At 38.1% G+C, this 17,415-nt stretch overlaps 1 protein-coding gene across 3 annotated transcripts in view; it reads left to right on the top strand.

Annotated features, from left to right (window-relative positions):
- MFN1 (mitofusin 1) overlaps nt 1–17,415 on the top strand; it is a 47,228-nt gene extending 29,813 nt beyond the window's left edge. For all 3 annotated transcript variants that reach the window (NM_033540.3, XM_005247596.5, XM_011512963.4), the window contains 6 exons: nt 820–922; nt 1,064–1,293; nt 8,048–8,200; nt 8,912–9,108; nt 12,483–12,617; nt 14,460–17,415. In NM_033540.3, coding sequence (NP_284941.2) covers nt 820–922; nt 1,064–1,293; nt 8,048–8,200; nt 8,912–9,108; nt 12,483–12,617; nt 14,460–14,538 — 897 coding nt within the window. In that variant the 3' untranslated portion in view covers nt 14,539–17,415. The remainder of the gene's footprint in view (nt 1–819; nt 923–1,063; nt 1,294–8,047; nt 8,201–8,911; nt 9,109–12,482; nt 12,618–14,459) is intronic.

The raw sequence follows: 17,415 nt of genomic DNA on the forward strand, positions 1-17,415 counted from the left end.
TGGCATTTCAGTGTATCAGTACAAAATGAAACTGTTAGATCTCTTGTGCCCTCTTGTAATAAATGTAAACTGTCTTGTATAAAAAGTAAATAGAAAATTTATACTTAGAATGAGATAAAGATCATTTTAGGACGAGGCACAGTGGCTCATGCCTGTAATCTCAACACTTTGGGAGGCCGAGGTGGGAGGATCAGTTGGGCCCCAGAGTTCGAGACCAGCCTGGGCAACACAGTGAGAACTCTAATCTACAAAAAACAGTTAGGCTGGTTGCGGTGGCTCCCGCCTTTAATCCCAGCACTTTGGGAGGCTGAGGCGGACGGATCACGAGGTCAGGAGTTCGAGACCAGCCTGACCAACATGGTGAAACCCTGTCTACTAAAAATACAAAAAAAAAATTAGCCGGTGGCAGGCGCCTGTAATACCAGCTACTCTGGAGGCTGAGGCGGGAGAATCGCTTGAAACCGGAAGGCAGAAGTGGCAGTGAGCCAAGATCACACCACTGCACTCCAACCTGGGCAACAAGAGCAAAACTCTATCTCAAAAAAAATAAAAAATAGCCAAGCATGGCGACACGCTTCTATAGTCCCAGTTACTCAGGAGTCTGAGGCAGGAGGATCGCGTGAGCCTAGGAGGTCAAGGCTACAGTGAGTCAAGATCAAAGCACTCCAGCCTAGGCAACAAAGCAAGACCCTGTCTCAAAAAAAAAAAAAAAGTCAAATTAAAAAGACCATTTTGGCATTTACTGAATATTTTATGTCTTTATAAAAACTACATACTTTCTGGAGAAAAAATAATATGGATATTTACCATTGTTAACAGGAATTAAATAAGCACATAGAGGATGGTATGGGAAGAAATTTGGCTGATCGATGCACCGATGAAGTAAACGCCTTAGTGCTTCAGACCCAGCAAGAAATTATTGGTAATATTTATGTCTACAAGGTCATGTCTGGTTTGTTTTTTCATTCATGACTGGTGAAGAGCTTATTTTCCTTTAGGCATTCCATTGAAGGTAAAACATTTACCATTCTTATCTTAAGTGTTGTAATTTTGTTCTTTCTAGAAAATTTGAAGCCATTACTTCCAGCTGGTATACAGGATAAACTACATACACTGATCCCTTGCAAGAAATTTGATCTCAGTTATAATCTAAATTACCACAAGTTATGTTCAGATTTTCAAGAGGATATTGTATTTCGTTTTTCCCTGGGCTGGTCTTCCCTTGTACATCGATTTTTGGGCCCTAGAAATGCTCAAAGGGTGCTCCTAGGATTATCAGAGCCTATCTTTCAGGTATGTATCTTTGAATCTACCAATTAAGACTCTCCTTTATTATTTTGTTTATGTGGTTTTTCTATAATAAAACTAGCTTTACAAAATCTGCACATTTAAAAGCTAGTATCTATCTCTTAGAGCCATTTCTGAGGTAGATATTTAGTTTGAGCATCTCCAATCTGAAAATCCTTAAAGGTCCAAAATGAAAAACTTTTTGAGTACGGTGACACCACAGGTGGAAAATTCCACACCAGACCTCAATGAGGTCATAGTAAAAACGCAGGCACACAACACACAGTTTATTCAGTGTCCTCAAGGGAAAAAAGACTCAGCCTCTTCTAGCTGCAATATATCTTTTCCACGTATGCCCAAATTCCCCCACACAAGCACACCTATGAAGGGTACTAAAATGGCACATGTGCAGGTCCAGTGCACCAACAGCATTTTCCCCATGATGCCCCACAAGGGGCCAAGACCTTTGTGCATTACCCAGTATGGGCTTCTTTACTTCCTGTCTTTTCTCTGGTGTAAAGATACTGTTTAAAAAAAATTTTTTTTTGAGTGGGGATGCGTTTGAGACAGAGACCTGCGCTGTGGCTCAGGCTGGAGTGCAGTGGTGCAATCTTGGCTCACTGCAACCTCCACCTCCCGGGTTCATGCGATTCTCCTGCCTCAGCCTCCTGAGCAGCTGGGATTATACGCACCCACCACCACACCCAGCTAATTTTTGTATTTTTAGTAGACATGGGGTTTCACCGTGTTGGCCAGACTGGTCTCGAACTCCTGACCTCAAGTGATCCACCTGCCTCAGCCTCCCAAAGTGTTGGGATTACAGGCGTGAGCCACAGCACCCAGGCTGTTTAAAATGTTTAAAAGGCCTACAGATACCCTTGTGGGTGACATTGATAAGAAAAAGAAGAGGCATTTATTTTTATTTATAACACATAAATTTAAGCTGTTGGAAAAACTGGACAATAATGTAAGTGAGAAACTTCTTACAGAAGAATGATGTTGGAATGAACACCATATATGACCTAAAAGAAAGAACAACTTTCCTAAAGTTGTTCTTTAGGACTAAACTGTTGAAGTTCCATGCTAAAAATGATGACAGAAGTTAATGAAAAAAACAAAAACACTGCAGAAAGTTAAAAACGAAGATCTTGATCATGCATTGAAAGAGTGGATCCATCAGCATTGCAGTGAACACGTGCCACTTAAGGACATGCTGATCATGAAATAAACATCTATTAAAATGAACTGAAAATCGAAGGGAACTGTGAGTATTCAATAGGCTGGTTAGAGAAATTTAAGGTAAGATAGCATTAACTTTTCTAAAGGTTTGTGGTGTTAAAGCATCTTGATCACAAAACAGCAGAGAAATTCATTGATGAATTTGCCAAGATTGTCTCTGATGAAAATCTGACTCCAGAACAAGTCTATAATGCTGATGAAACATCACTGTTTTGCCATTATTGACCCAGAAAGACACTGACTACAGCTGAGGAGACAGCCCCTACAAGAATAAAGGATGCAAAGAACAGAATAACTGTGCTGGGATGTGCTAATGCAGCAGGCATAAATGTGAACTTACTGTGATAGGCAAAAGCTTGCATCCTCACTGTTTTCAAGGAATGCATTTTTTTTACTAGTCCATTATTGTACTAACAAAAAGGCATGGATCCCTAGGGACATCTTTTCTGATTGGTTTCACAAACATTTTATACCAGCTTGTGTGCACTTGCAGGGAAGCTAGGCCGGATGATGACTGCAAGATTTTGTTATTCCTTGACAACTATTCTGCTCATCGTCTAGCTGAAATTCTTATTAAAAAAAGTGTTTCATTATTTCAACCTTGTGACCAGGGTATTCTACGATCAATGAAGAGTAAATACAAAAACCTTTTTTGGGCAGCATGCTAGCAGCAGTGAACTGAGGCCTGGGTGTGGAAGGTTTTCAGAAGGAGTTTAGAATGAAAGATGCCATAGATGCTTTTGCCAGCACAAGGAGTTTAGGATGAAGGATGCCATATATGCCAGCACTTGGAAGACAGTGACTCAGTTGTGTATGCCTGCAGCCTCTGCCTGTCACTACATTTATTGATGATGAGGAGCAAATTGGTGACTTTGAAGTATGTCAAGTGAGCTCCTTATGCAAAAAATAATATCTTCAGAGTCCATCCGTAAGCTGGAAGAAGGATATATCAAAGAAGTGTTTGACATTGATAATGAGGTTTCAGTTGTTCATTCATTAACTGATGGCAAAATAGCTAAAATGCTTCTAAATCAAGGTGATTATGATAATGGTGATAATGAAGATGATTTCATTGACCTCGCAGAACAACTGCCTATAGGCAGCATGGTGATGGGCTTATTGAAGCACTAGAGCAGCATGTATTCATAACAGAACAAGAAATAGGTTTATAAAATCAAGGAGAGACTTCAACAAAAACCATTGTTAAAGAGGCAAGTAGGTGGTACTGCAGGAAACATTTTAAAAGGCCATTCAGCACAATGTCTTATTATGCCGAGAGGACCCACTTCTTGGTCCCTCAACTGCTTCTGATGTTTCTTCTCACCTAACAAAGTACTGTGTACCGGAACTTTTTAATCAAAACATAACATTGTAGGTAGAGACTGAAAGCCTGCCATTGTTGCTGTTTAACAGCTGATACAGGTGTTCTGGTGATGCCACTGTGCTGCTTAGTTTGAATACGTTATTTTTCACTGTTATTAATGGTGTGTCTTATATTTTTACTATTAAGTTCCTTTGTGTGAATCCGTGTAAGAAAATGATTGCTTGTCAGTAGTATGTAAATTCAATCAAGAATGATGGTGATGCCAAACAACCATAGAGTGTTCACATGGGTGGCTGACATAGCAACACCTGTGTTTTCTGATAAGTCAGTGTACACAACCTTTGTTTCATGCACAAAATTATTTAAATATTGGATAAAATTACCTTCAGGCTATGCATATAAGGTATATGAAGCATAAATGAATTTTGTGTTTGGACTTGGGTCCCATCCTCAAGATAGCTCATTATATCTATGAAATATTCAAAAATCCTAAAAAATCTGAAATCTGAAACACTTCTGGTCCCAAGCATTTTGGATAAGGGACACTCAACCTGTAGTATGCTTAAGGGAAAGCTTATCCTAAAGCTTTCGTCCAATACTGTTGCAGGTGGTGCTACATTCATTTTTGAAACATTTCTGTTTTCTTAAAAGATTTGGTTTTCACATTTCAAATAAACTAGCATAAATACAAGCATTTTTTTAATTTTTTTTTATTATACTTTTAAGTTCTAGGGTACATGTACACAACGTGCAGGTTTGTTACATATGTATACATGTGCCATGTTAGTGTGCTGCACCCATTAACTCATCATTTACATTAGGTATATCTCCTAATGCTATCCCTCCTCCTTCCTCCCATCCCACAACAGGCCCCGGGGTGTGATGTTCCCCTTCCTGTGTCCAAGTGTTCTCATTGTTCAATTCCCACCTATGAGTGAGAACATGCAGTGTTTGGTTTTTTGTCCTTGCAATAGTTTGCTGAGAATGATGGTTTCCAGCTTCATCGATGTCCCTACAAAGGACATGAACTCATCATTTTTTATGGCTGCATAGTATTCCATGGTGTATATGTGCCACATTTTCTTAATCCAGTCTATCATTGTTGGACATTTGGGTTGGTTCCAAGTCTTTGCTATTATGAGTAGTGCTGCAGTAAACATATGTGTGCATGTGTCTTTATAGCACCATGATTTATATTCCTTTGGGTATATACCCAGTAATGGGATGGCTGGGTCAGATAGTATTTCTAGTTCTAGATCCCTGAGGAATCACCACACTGTCTTCCACAATGGTTGAACTAGTTTACAGTCCCACCAACAGTGTAAAAGTGTTCCTATTTCTCCACATCCTCTCCAGCACCTGTTGTTTCCTGACTTTGTAATGATTGCCATTCTAACTGGTGTGAGATGATATCTCATTGTGGTTTTGATTTGCATTTCTCTGATGGCCAGTGATGATGAACATTTTTTCACGTGTCTATTGGCTGCATAAATGTCTTCTTTTGAGAAGTGTCTGTTCATATCCTTCGCCCACTTTTTGATGGGGTTGTTTTTTTCTTGTAAATTTGTTTGAGTTCTCTGTAGATTCTCGATATTACCCCTTTGTCAGATGAGTAGATTGCAAAAATTTTCTCCCATTCTGTAGGTTGCCTGTTCACTCTGATGGTAGTTTCTTTTGCTGTGCAGAAGCTCTTTAGTTTAATGAGATCCCATTTGTCAATTTTGGCTTTTGTTGCCATTGCCTTTGGTGTTTTAGACATGAAGTCCTTGCCCATGCCTGTGTCCTGAATGATATTGCCTAGGTTTTCTTCTAGGGTTTTTATGGTTTTAGGTCTAACATTTAAGTCTTTAATGCATCTTGAATTAATTTTTGTATAAGGTGTAAGGAAGGGATCCAGTTTCAGCTTTGTACATATAGCTAGCCAGTTTTCCCAGCACCATTTGTTAAATAGGGAATCCTTTCCCCATTTCTTGTTTTTGTCAGGTTTGTCAAAGATCAGATAGTTGTAGATGTGTGGTATTATTTCTGAGGGCTCTGTTCTGTTCCATTGGTCTATATCTCTGTTTTGGTACCAGTACCATGCTGTTTTGGTTAGTGTTTGGTAGTGTAGTATAGTTTGAAGTCAGGTAGCGTGATGCCTCCAGCTTTGTTCTTTTGGCTTAGGATTGACTTGGCAATGCGGGCTCTTTTTTGGTTCCATATGAACTTTAAAGTAGTTTTTTTCCAATTCTGTGAAGAAAGTCATTGGTAGCTTGATGGGGATGGCATTGAATCTATAAATTACCTTGGGCAGTATGGCCATTTTCATGATATTGATTCCTCCTATCCATGAGCATGGAATGTTCTTCCATTTCACCCATTCACAATTGCTTCGAAGAGAGTAAAATACCTAGGAATCCAACTTACAAAGGATGTGAAGGACCTCTTCAAGGAGAACTACAAACCACTGCTCATCGAAATAAAAGAGAATACAAGCATTTTAAAAGAAAAACTTTAAAAAATTTATCAATTCAGTAATTTTTTAGGAAATTTGTGAAATTGTAAAACCATCACCACAATTTAGTTTTAGTTTTTGTCACCTCAAAGCTGTTTTACTCATTTGTAGTCAATTATGATTTCCACCTCCAGCCTCACCACTAATCTGCCTTCTGTTTATGGATTTGCCCTTTCTGGAGGTTTCCTATAAATGCAATCATATAGAATGTGGCCTTATATGACTGGTTTCTTTCACTTAGTATAATGTTTTCAAGGTTTATCATCATGGTATCAGTGTTGTAGGATGTATCAGTACTTCATTTCTTATTACGGCTGAGGAATATTCCATTATAGATACAACACTATCCATTCACCAGTTGATGGACATTAGGGTAGTTTGTAGTTTTTGGCCATTATGAATACTGCTATAAATATTCATGTACATGTTTTTTATGTGGACGTGCGTTTTCATTTCTCTTGAGTATATACGTAGGTTCTAATGGGTATAGAGTAGTATTCGTTGTAGGTTTGATTTGCATTTCCCTAATGACCAATGATTTTAAACATCTTTTTTGTGTGCTCACTAGCCATTTGTGTATCTTCTTTTGTGAAATGTCTATTCAAAGCTTTTACCTATTTTTAAATTATTTGGGTCCTATAGAGTTGCAGGATTTCTTTGCATATTCTGGATCAAATCCTTTCTCACATATATGATTTCCAAATATGTTTCTTTATTTTTTGAGACAAGGACTTGCTATGCCCAAGCTGGAGTATGGTGGTGTGATCACAGTTCACTGCCACCTCTGCTTCCAAGGAGCTGGGACCACAGGCATGTGCCACCACACCTAGCTAATTTAAAAGAAATTTTTGTAGACACAAGGTCTCACTGTGCTGTGCTGGCTGGTTTCAAACTCCTGGTCTCAAGCTATCCTCCTGCCATGGCCTCCCAGAGTGCTGGGACTACAGGCATAAGTCACTGCACCCAGCCCCAAATATATTTCTCTTGCCTGTGGCTGTGTGTTTTGAAGTTTAAGAGGTTTTTATTTTGAAGTCCTTTTTTTTTTTTTTTTTTTTTTTGAGACTGAGTTTCACTCTGTTGTCCAGACTGGAGTGCAGTGGTGCAATCTCGGCTCACTGCAAGCTCTGCCTCCTGGGTTCACGCCATTCTCCTGCCTCAGCCTCCCAAGTAGTTGGGACTACAGGCATCCACCACCTCGCTGGGCTAATTTTTTTTTTTTATGTATTTTTATTAGAGACAGGGTTTCACTGTGTTAGCCAGGATGGTCTCGATCTCCTGACCTCGAGATCCATCCACCTCGGCCTCCCAAAGTGCTGGGATTACAGGCGTGAGCCACCGCGCCCGGCCGAAGTCCTTTTTTTTTTTTTTAGTTTATCATTTTTTGTTGTTGTTTGTTTCAAGGATTGTGCTTTTGTTGTTAGTTTTTTTAAAAACACACTTTGTTCCTCTTGAGAGTTGAGGGCCTACTGTTACATTTAGACCCCATTGTATATTATGAAAATTTATTGTTCATGATATCATTGGTCCATATTGTAGATAAGAATTTCCAAATTATTTTTATTTTCTACATATATTTGTGGTGTACTCATCATTTAGGGTAATTTTTCCCTCATAGATGTGCTACTATAATTTTAGAGTTTTATAAAGATAACTTTATAGTTGTTTAAGTGTAATCTTTTTTCCTTTCTCTTTTTTTTTGGCAGCTCCCTAGATCTTTAGCTTCTACTCCCACTGCTCCTACCACTCCAGCAACGCCAGATAATGCATCACAGGAAGAACTCATGATTACATTAGTAACAGGATTGGCGTCCGTTACATCTAGAACTTCTATGGGCATCATTATTGTTGGAGGAGTGGTAAGAAACATTACTTTTAGTATAATTAAAATCGAAATGTTTGCAAGGCTGCCTGTTAGCTCACAAAAGAAAAGGTATACAGTATTTACTTCTATTTATAGGATCTGTAAAATAGTATGAAAATTTGCAGGTTAAAAGTAGTGAATTAAATATCACAAGTTTCATCTTAAATTTTTAAAAAACATACATCTTTAGGAATGAACTATCACCACCTAGCTGGTCTTTAATACTTCCTAAGCATTTTCACATCACAGCACACAAAGAAATATTTGTACGTTGAGGTAATAAGAAAACCCCAGGTGCCCTATCTAGCCTTCTCTGAATATCAAGGGGATCTGTCTTAAGTATTAAATGTTATTTTTAGTAGTAGTTCTTATTTGTTTCTTTAAAAAATGTATATCATTAACAGCATGGATATGCTTGTTTTGGTTTTTGAAAGGTCTGACCTACAATATTTAACATTGTTTTATTTTTGAGATACATTGAATCAGGATAAGTCTGGCAGCTTATAAAGCTCTCCCTCATTTGTGTGCTGATCCCTTTTAAGCCTGATTGATTTCTGGTAACTTCAGGTTTTCTCATGGAGAAGGAATATACATTTTTAGAAAATGTATCTAACTCAAAGATCCATAGGGAACTAAAATGCTTTTAAATGTACTCTCCAAAGTGGTGTTTTTCCTTCTCAGACTAAGCTATGACTTTATCTTACAGATTTGGAAAACTATAGGCTGGAAACTCCTATCTGTTTCATTAACTATGTATGGAGCTTTGTATCTTTATGAAAGACTGAGCTGGACCACCCATGCCAAGGAGCGAGCCTTTAAACAGCAGTTTGTAAACTATGCAACTGAAAAACTGAGGATGATTGTTAGCTCCACGAGTGCAAACTGCAGTCACCAAGTAAAACAGTAAGTTGGAAGGTGCATCTTTCCTTTAAAAAAAAGTTACTGAAATATGACATACATGCAGAAAAAGCACAAAATAAGTGTATTGCTCAAAGAATTATCACAAAATGAACATGTTTCGTGATGGCCATAAATGAGAAAAAATAGAACAATACTAAACCTCACTGCTGCCCTTTCTCCCTCCTAATCACTATTCTTCTTTCCATTCTCCTGATAGATTAGGTTTGAACATTAGAAAATTGGTAGATAGGAACTCTCAAGAACTCTGGAGGGGTTTAAAAAGATAGTTCTTAATTTTTTTTCTTTTTTTTCAGAGATAGGGTCTCTGTCGCCCAGGCTGGAGGGCAGTGGCACAATCTGGCTCACTGCAGCCTCGAATCTTGGGCTCAAGTGATCTTACTGCCTCAGCCTCCCACGTAGCTGGGACCACAGGTGTGTGCCACCACACCAGGATAATTTTTTAATTTTTTTTTTTTCTTTGAGACAGGGACTCAATATGTTGCCCGGGTTGGTCTTGACCACCTGGGCTCAAGTAATCCTCCCTCCTCAAGCCTCCTGAGTAGCTGAGATTATAGGCATGAGCCACCATGCCCAACTCAAAAGATCTTCAGCAGACCTATTCTAAATTTATGTACCTGGCTGGGCAAGGTGGCTCACGCCTATAATCCCAGCACATTGGGAGGCTGAGGCAGGCGGATCACTTGAGGTCGGGAGTTCGAGAACAGCCTGGCCAACATGGTGAAACCCCATCTCTACTAAAAACACAAAAATTAGCCGGGCATGGTAGCACATGCCTGTAATCTCAGCTAGTTGGGAGGCTGAGGCACAAGAATCGCTTGACCCTGGAAGGCAGAGGTTGTAGTGAGCCGAGATCACATCACTGAACTCCAGCCTGGGCGACAGAGTGAGAGACTATGTCTCAAAAATAAATAATTGCCCTTAAGATATTTGTGGTTTCTTTTTTTTTTTTTTTTTTTTTTTTTTTTTCTGAGATGGAGTCTCAGTTGCCCAGGCTGGAGTGCAATGGCACAATCTCGGCTCACTGCAACCTCCACCTTCCTCATTCAAGTGAGTAGCTGGCGTGTGCCACCGCACCCAGCTAATTTTTTTTTTTTTTTTTGAGATGGAGTCTCACTCTGTCACCCAGGCTGGAGTGCAGTAGCACGATCTCGGCTCACCACAACCTCCGCCTCCCAGGTTCAAGCAATTCTCCTGCTTCAGCCTCCCAAGTAGCTGGGACTACAGGTGCATGCCACTACACCTGGCTAATTTTGTTTTGTATTTTTAGTAGAGATGGGGTTTTCACCATGTTGGCCAGGATGGTCTCAATCTCCTGACCTCATGATCCACTCGCCTCGGCCTCCCAAAGTGCTGGGATTACAGGTGTGAGCCTCCATGCCCAGCCCCTTGCCCAGCTAATTTTTTTTGTATTTTTTTTTTTTAGTAGAGCCAAGGTTTCACCATGTTGGCCAGGCTGATCTTGAACTCCTGACCTCAAGTGATCCACCTGCCTTGGCCTCCCAAAGTGTTGGGATCACAGGCGTGAGCCACCGCGCCCAGCCAGATCTTTGTGGTTTCTTAATAAAGAAAACTGAATGAATAGAGGTAGCCTGGCCAAGCAGTCTAAGAAAGCTGAATGAATTCTTAGCATTTAACAAATGAACTTAATGGTAGGTAGACTCCTGATTTCATGGTGAATGTAATGTATATTTGCTCTCGCAGTTCAAATGTATACGTTAAATGCTATTTTATTTTTAGATCTCAGGAGAATTTTATTATAACATATACCTAAGTCCACCCGGTTTCTGCTTTTATACAACTTAAATATTTGTTTCATTCATGTGGTAAAAATATATAGAACTCCAGTCAAGTCAGGGTACAATATTCTGTATTTGGATGCCTCTGAGAGCAGAATTTAAAAATTCTTTGAGTTCAAGATAACTTCAGTTTAATGGAAGAAACTAACATTTACATAATTATAATACAAAGTGAGAGTGATAAGAAATATAAGAGAAAGAGAAACCATTATCATAAGGCAAGGCTGTACAAGTTACTTAAATCATGAAGGATAGTAGATCAATAAAGGTTTCCTAGGGGAGATGTGTAGCATATGAGATTTGAACATGCTGTATCGGAAGATCAGATGGAGACAACAACCCAAATCAAAAACAAGAAGGTAAGGGGAAAAGACTGCATTCAAAGACATGAAGAGAAATATTCAATGTGGCACATGTGTATCTAAGCTGTGTACATACATTCAGGTGTAGACTTCATAGCAGGATGTGGCCTTGTCTGTATGTGTAGATTGGGGTTTGGATAATTAGGAATTCCGAGAGTGATGTCAACACTTAGTTCTAGAACAGATAACTTTGCAGTAGTATTTGAAATTGTTTAGACTCAAGAGACAGGAATTGCAGGAACGGTAAACTGTTGCAGATACAAAATCAAAGTCTGAACTAACAGTTAATAATTGTAGAGAATGGTTACCAGGAGACTGCAAATTTGAGGAATTTGTTCATTTATTCATTCATTCATTGACCAAGTTTTTTGAGCCTCTATTTTATCTGATAGTTTTAATTTATATTAAGGATGAGTTTTCATCTAGTTAAGATACTTGGACATCCAAAGAATCAGCTGAAATTCATATAAATAAAAACAAAGTTAATGTAGCTTTCCCTGCATTGATTATCAAACATTTATTAATTGCCTCCCACGCAGCAGTTCATGCTAGGGGTTATGGGAAATAAAAACTCGACTTGATCCTCTTTCTTAGAAGACTTTGCACATTAATGGAGGCAACCTCAAATAATTTCTCAGTTAAAATAAACTAAGTAAATATTTAATATTTAACAAAATATTAAAAGAATGACACATGCTTCATCTGTCTGAGATTTGGTGGAATGGGAAGAGGTATGCTCCCATTTAAAAATATAATGTTTGCCAAAGTTAATATATGAATTAGCCCTCAAATATAACCCTTTGATTCTAGAAATATTGTTAAATTTTGCTATAAAGTATTTTTGCCTATGTCACAAAAGTGCATGGAATTTTTTTTCTGTTCTTGATAATTTCTTACTTTGCGCAGGGCCCCAAGCATGAGTAAAGTTTATTGTGCTTCTGAAGAAACACACCCATCTTTTGTCTTTATGTAGCTTATTCATGTTCACAGCCATATAGCAGAGGTAATATCGTCTCTTGAGCCAGGATAAAATGCAGCCCACTAGTGCCATATCTTCCCTCTTATCATTCTTAGTGTTCTGATTCCCTATAGTTTAGAAGTTTTTTAAAACTTGTGTTCTTCTTTTTATGTGAGCTTTAAATTAAAGCTTATTCATTTTTGAAGACATTTATGACTGCTTCTAAATTTTTATTTTAAGACAAATAGCTACCACTTTTGCTCGCCTGTGCCAACAAGTTGATATTACTCAAAAACAGCTGGAAGAAGAAATTGCTAGATTACCCAAAGAAATAGATCAGTTGGAGAAAATACAAAACAATTCAAAGCTCTTAAGGTATTTAAACCTTTCTTCTCAATAATTTGAACATTTACTGGTCTCATTACAAAATATGTAAAATTATTAATGAATTTGTATTCATTCCTAATAGCTTTTTGTGTTGGTTTAAATGAAAATCTTCCATATTTAATTCCATGTGGTTTGCAGTTTCACCGAAGGTTTAAATGAAAATCTTCCATATTTAATTCCATGTGGTTTGCAGTTTCACTGAAGGCTAATTGCAACAAGAAAACAAATCTGAATTGAAAGGGACTTTATAGATCGAAATTTACTCTTCATTAGGCTATATTATTCCCTTTTCAGAACAGAAGTTGTATAATTAAAAGTGAATTTTTAGTTGTGTATGTCCAAGACCCATAACTTCTGTTTTCATGGGGGACTATTGATTATGTATACTTAAATCATAAAAGTAAGATGTCCTGATAAAATGTGGATTTCTGGTTTGATATGATTCATTATATATTATTTAGGGTCTAATAAAATTTGCTTTTGGGGACAAGACTGAAAGTGTCACCATTCGGTCTGTAGTTGGAAATTCTTACTCAGTGCTTAAGAACTTAACTTTCAGCTTTCTTACTTTTGCTTACCCATTAGCTGGCTTGTCAGAATGTCTTGGAAGAACCATTAAACCTCATTTAGTCCCTGCTGTTACTTCTAGGACACATGCTACACAAAATTGCCTGTGTAAGAACAGCTTAGTAGTCAATGTTTACAAATTGGAGGGACTGTCTTTGTGACCTGGATTTTGGGGCATGTACTTAAAACATCCATAGTAGTGATTATCCATCCATAGTGTCTTCATCTGACCAACAACACGTGTTCATTGTACCTTAGTTTCAAAATCTCTGGAAAAGATGACTGCCTATCACTTAGATATTTCCAACCTCACCCACCCATGTGAATTGTATGTATTAGATTGCTCCTATTTTAAGTCAGCTCATCCCATATATACCTTTCAAATGTGGTGAAACTGTGCAGTAGAAATTGGTTTTTTGTCTTAACCTAGGTAAGTTTTTATGGTTTTTTGGTTTTGATTTATTCAGCTTTTGAAAGAGGAATACTAGGTAAGTTTTTAAATAGTATTTCATTTTGTTATAATAAATGATAAAATAGATTATTGGCATTAGTCATGTAGCTTTCTGATTTGGGCAAGACTGGCTTGAATAAGTATGAATATTTTTGGTCTGCTAATCATTTTTCTAATAGAAAAAAGTTAAAAAAAACAAATACCATAATATTTGGAATTTCCATTTTTTACTAGATTAGGCTCAGCCATTTGGATAGAATTTAATGTGCTAACGCTGCAGGAGAGCTACCTCAAGAAATATATACAGTAGAGTTCAGAGCTGATGTATACTTGTATGACCTGAAGCATATGCACACAGGAATAAAGTAAAACAAGACCCTCCCCGTCCATAATGGAGAGAGAGAGCCCACTCAATGAATATGTGCCCTGGCATAGTGTGAGAGTGGGAAACAAATCTGTTTTTCTGTCAGTTTTAGTTCCAGTTTTCCTCTCTTGTGGGCATTTGGCTGCATCAAGGATGAATCTAGTGTTTAAAGGAAATATTTTTGGTATGCCATTGCCGCTGTAACATCTGCTACTTTCCTTGTATGTCCATAAGAAACACTGTGTACTTTGTGCATTATTTAAAGGGAATTTGCAAGCATAATCATGACTCTAGGTAACTTAGGATATCCCGTGTAAGGTATGATTCCACTGTCTGTTATGCTCTTCATTGTTTATTATTAAAGTTTTTGTCTTTTAATAATGGATGGAATGCATTTTTCTCCTTGACCTTTATAGTAATTAGATTGGTGTTTTATTTTTTTAATTAGAAATAAAGCTGTTCAACTTGAAAATGAGCTGGAGAATTTTACTAAGCAGTTTCTACCTTCAAGCAATGAAGAATCCTAACAATAGAGATTGCTTTGGTGACCATGATAGGAGGAAACGAAACTTGTAAGATTGGAACAGTTGTTATTTTTATGAAATTACTTTAAATATGAATTGTACTAACTGTACCTAAATAGCAAAGCCCTGTGTAGATTCTGGTAATGATCTGTCTCAGGGTATGTGTATTTTTGAAGAGTGTTATGTCCTTAGTTTTAATTTTGAGTAAAGAAAAGGCTAAAATCATGAATTAGTTACAAGCAACAGTACCAACTTATGTGACCCCTGAGGGGTGGGGCTGTGAGCTCTTAATTTGTTTTTGATTCTGAAAAACTCTGCTTCCTGGCATCCAGGAGTTAGAGATTGAGCCTTTCATCTTCTTTCTCAAAACTAGTTTTTGATGCTTTCTTTCATGGGAATAGTCACTTTTTTATTTAGTAAATCGCATTGCTGGAACCACCAAGGAGTGTGGAATGTCCTTGAGTGTATTATTTATGCAAGTCACAGTCACGTTGCCATCATGGCAGCTATGTGAAACACTAATAAATGTGTTTTTACTTTTTATTCCCGTTAAAACTGATGTAAAACAGGATAAAGGCTTGTTATAGTCACTTATAAGTATCTGGGTCTAAGTAATTTCCTTAGATGTTTCTAAAGAAACATTTTCAGCTTTGCTCCCATTATGATTCCAATAAGGAACGCTTTCCTAGTGCAATTTTAGGAGTAAAGTTTGAAGAGATAAAAATAGCCAAAGATAGGAGACGTCTGAATTTTGAATGATAAACAGTGATGTTTTAAAAAAGCTGTTGTTCTTCAGGAGGCATTTGCCTAGGATATTGCTGGATTATACCCCATTGGAGGCTTTTAATTTTATTTGTATGAATTTTCCAGGATTTCATTAAAAATTATTATTGTATTTTTTACCTTAATGAAAGATTTTGGGTTCAAATATCTTTCTATATTAAAAGCTGATTGAGTCTGTACATATGTAAATTATGCCTAGTGGAGGTTCTGTTGACTTTCTTCCCCACTGTGGAAGAGGCCAGTTTTGCCTCCATTTGCACATTCATTTCAGTTATTTCTGATCCATAAATATAACATTTACAAAATTCTTCCTTGAGCTGGTGGAAATGCCTCACCAGTTTCCTCTTTAATGAATCAAATAAAATCTTTAACTGATGTTAAAAAAAATTGATTGAAACTCAGATGGAATGGAAATGTACAAAAATGACACCATTCTAGGAATTTGCTAGACAAAATGTAGGACTACCAGATCAGTATCTCCTAGACACTTGTTAGAAATGCACAATCCCGGGGAACGCAGTACATTTGGCCACATGTAGTTTATGTTTCCTTTTCATGGGAGGGATAAAATTTAAAGCTTTTTTTTTCTTTGAATACAGTCCTTCCTTTTCTATGCCTTTTAAGGCTTCTAGATGCTATTCAGCCTTTTTACAGCAGGTGCAACTCTATTTTTCAAGGTATCTTAGAAGATAACACTAGGCCATTGAAGCCTTTCAAAAATATATTTTTATGCAAATTGACACGAGTGCAGTATACTAATGCAAATTAATTTTGGTGTTTAGCTTTTATTGCTCATTTATAACCCAAGAAATGGTACAGACCACAGTAAGTGGGATTAGGTAACAACTACAACATGGAAAAACAGTGTCTAAGATCACGTACTGCTAATTTAGGTTACAAAACTCAAGGCTGTAACCTTTATATGAAAGTACTTAAGCTTGAAAGTTCATAATAGTTTGGTATCACCTCATTAGTATAGTACAGTGGTTCTCAAAGTTTGGTCCTGGGTCATCGACATTACTTCTTTTTCTTTCTGAGACAGGGTCTCAGTCTGTCACCCAGGATGGAGTGCAGTGGCGTGATCATGGCTCACTGCAGCCTCAACCTCTCGGGTTCAGGTGATCCTCCCACATCAGCCTCCTGGGTGGCTGGGACTACAGGCACACGCCACCATGCCTGGCTAGTTTTTGTAAAGACGAGGTTTCCCCATGTTGTGCAGGCTGGTCTTGAACTCACAGACTCAAGTGATCCTTTTACCTCAGCCTCCCAAACTGTTGGGATAACAGGTGTAAGCCACCACACACAGCTATAATCAACCTTCAAACTTATAAAAAGTGTGGATCCTTGGGTCTGAACCCAGACCTATGGAGTCAGACAGTAGGTTTGAGGCCCAGCAATCTATGGTTTAACAAGCCATCCAGGTGTTTCTGATGCACAGTGAAATTGGGGTACCACTGGTATTAGGTTTGGTATGGCAACTTTTTCATCACTTGTTTTATGTAGTTGTCTGATCAATTGTGAAAACATAATGAATGTTGGAAATGGAACAGTAAAATAACGAAAGCCAACTTTTTTTTTTTTTTTTTTTTTTTTTGAGACGGAGTCTCGCTCTGTCGCCCAGGCTGGAGTGCAGTGGCGCGATCTCGGCTCACTGCAAGCTCCGCCTCCCGGGTTCACGCCATTCTCCTGCCTCAGCCTCCCGAGTAGCTGGGACTACAGGCGCCCGCCACCACGCCCGGCTAATTTTTTGTATTTTTAGTAGAGACGGGGTTTCACCGTGTTAGCCAGGATGGTCTCGATCTCCTGACCTCGTGATCCACCCGCCTCGGCCTCCCAAAGTGCTGGGATTACAGGCGTGAGCCACCGCGCCCGGCCGAAAGCCAACTCTTATGCCTAGAAATATGTGCACCTATGACCAAGCCCATGAATTATACAGGAATTATGTAATTATGAGTGATGTACTTCAAAGTTATTGCACATACACTTGTTTACTTTGTATGTTTGCAGGATTAAACTTTGTATAATCTTTTTACAAAAATTTTTTTTCAGTATGCAAGCTTGCAAGATGAAAATAAAACCTGTTTGCCTGATAGTTGA

This window comes from Homo sapiens, chromosome 3 (assembly GCF_000001405.40).
Source record: "Homo sapiens chromosome 3, GRCh38.p14 Primary Assembly".
NCBI lineage: Eukaryota > Metazoa > Chordata > Mammalia > Primates > Hominidae > Homo > Homo sapiens.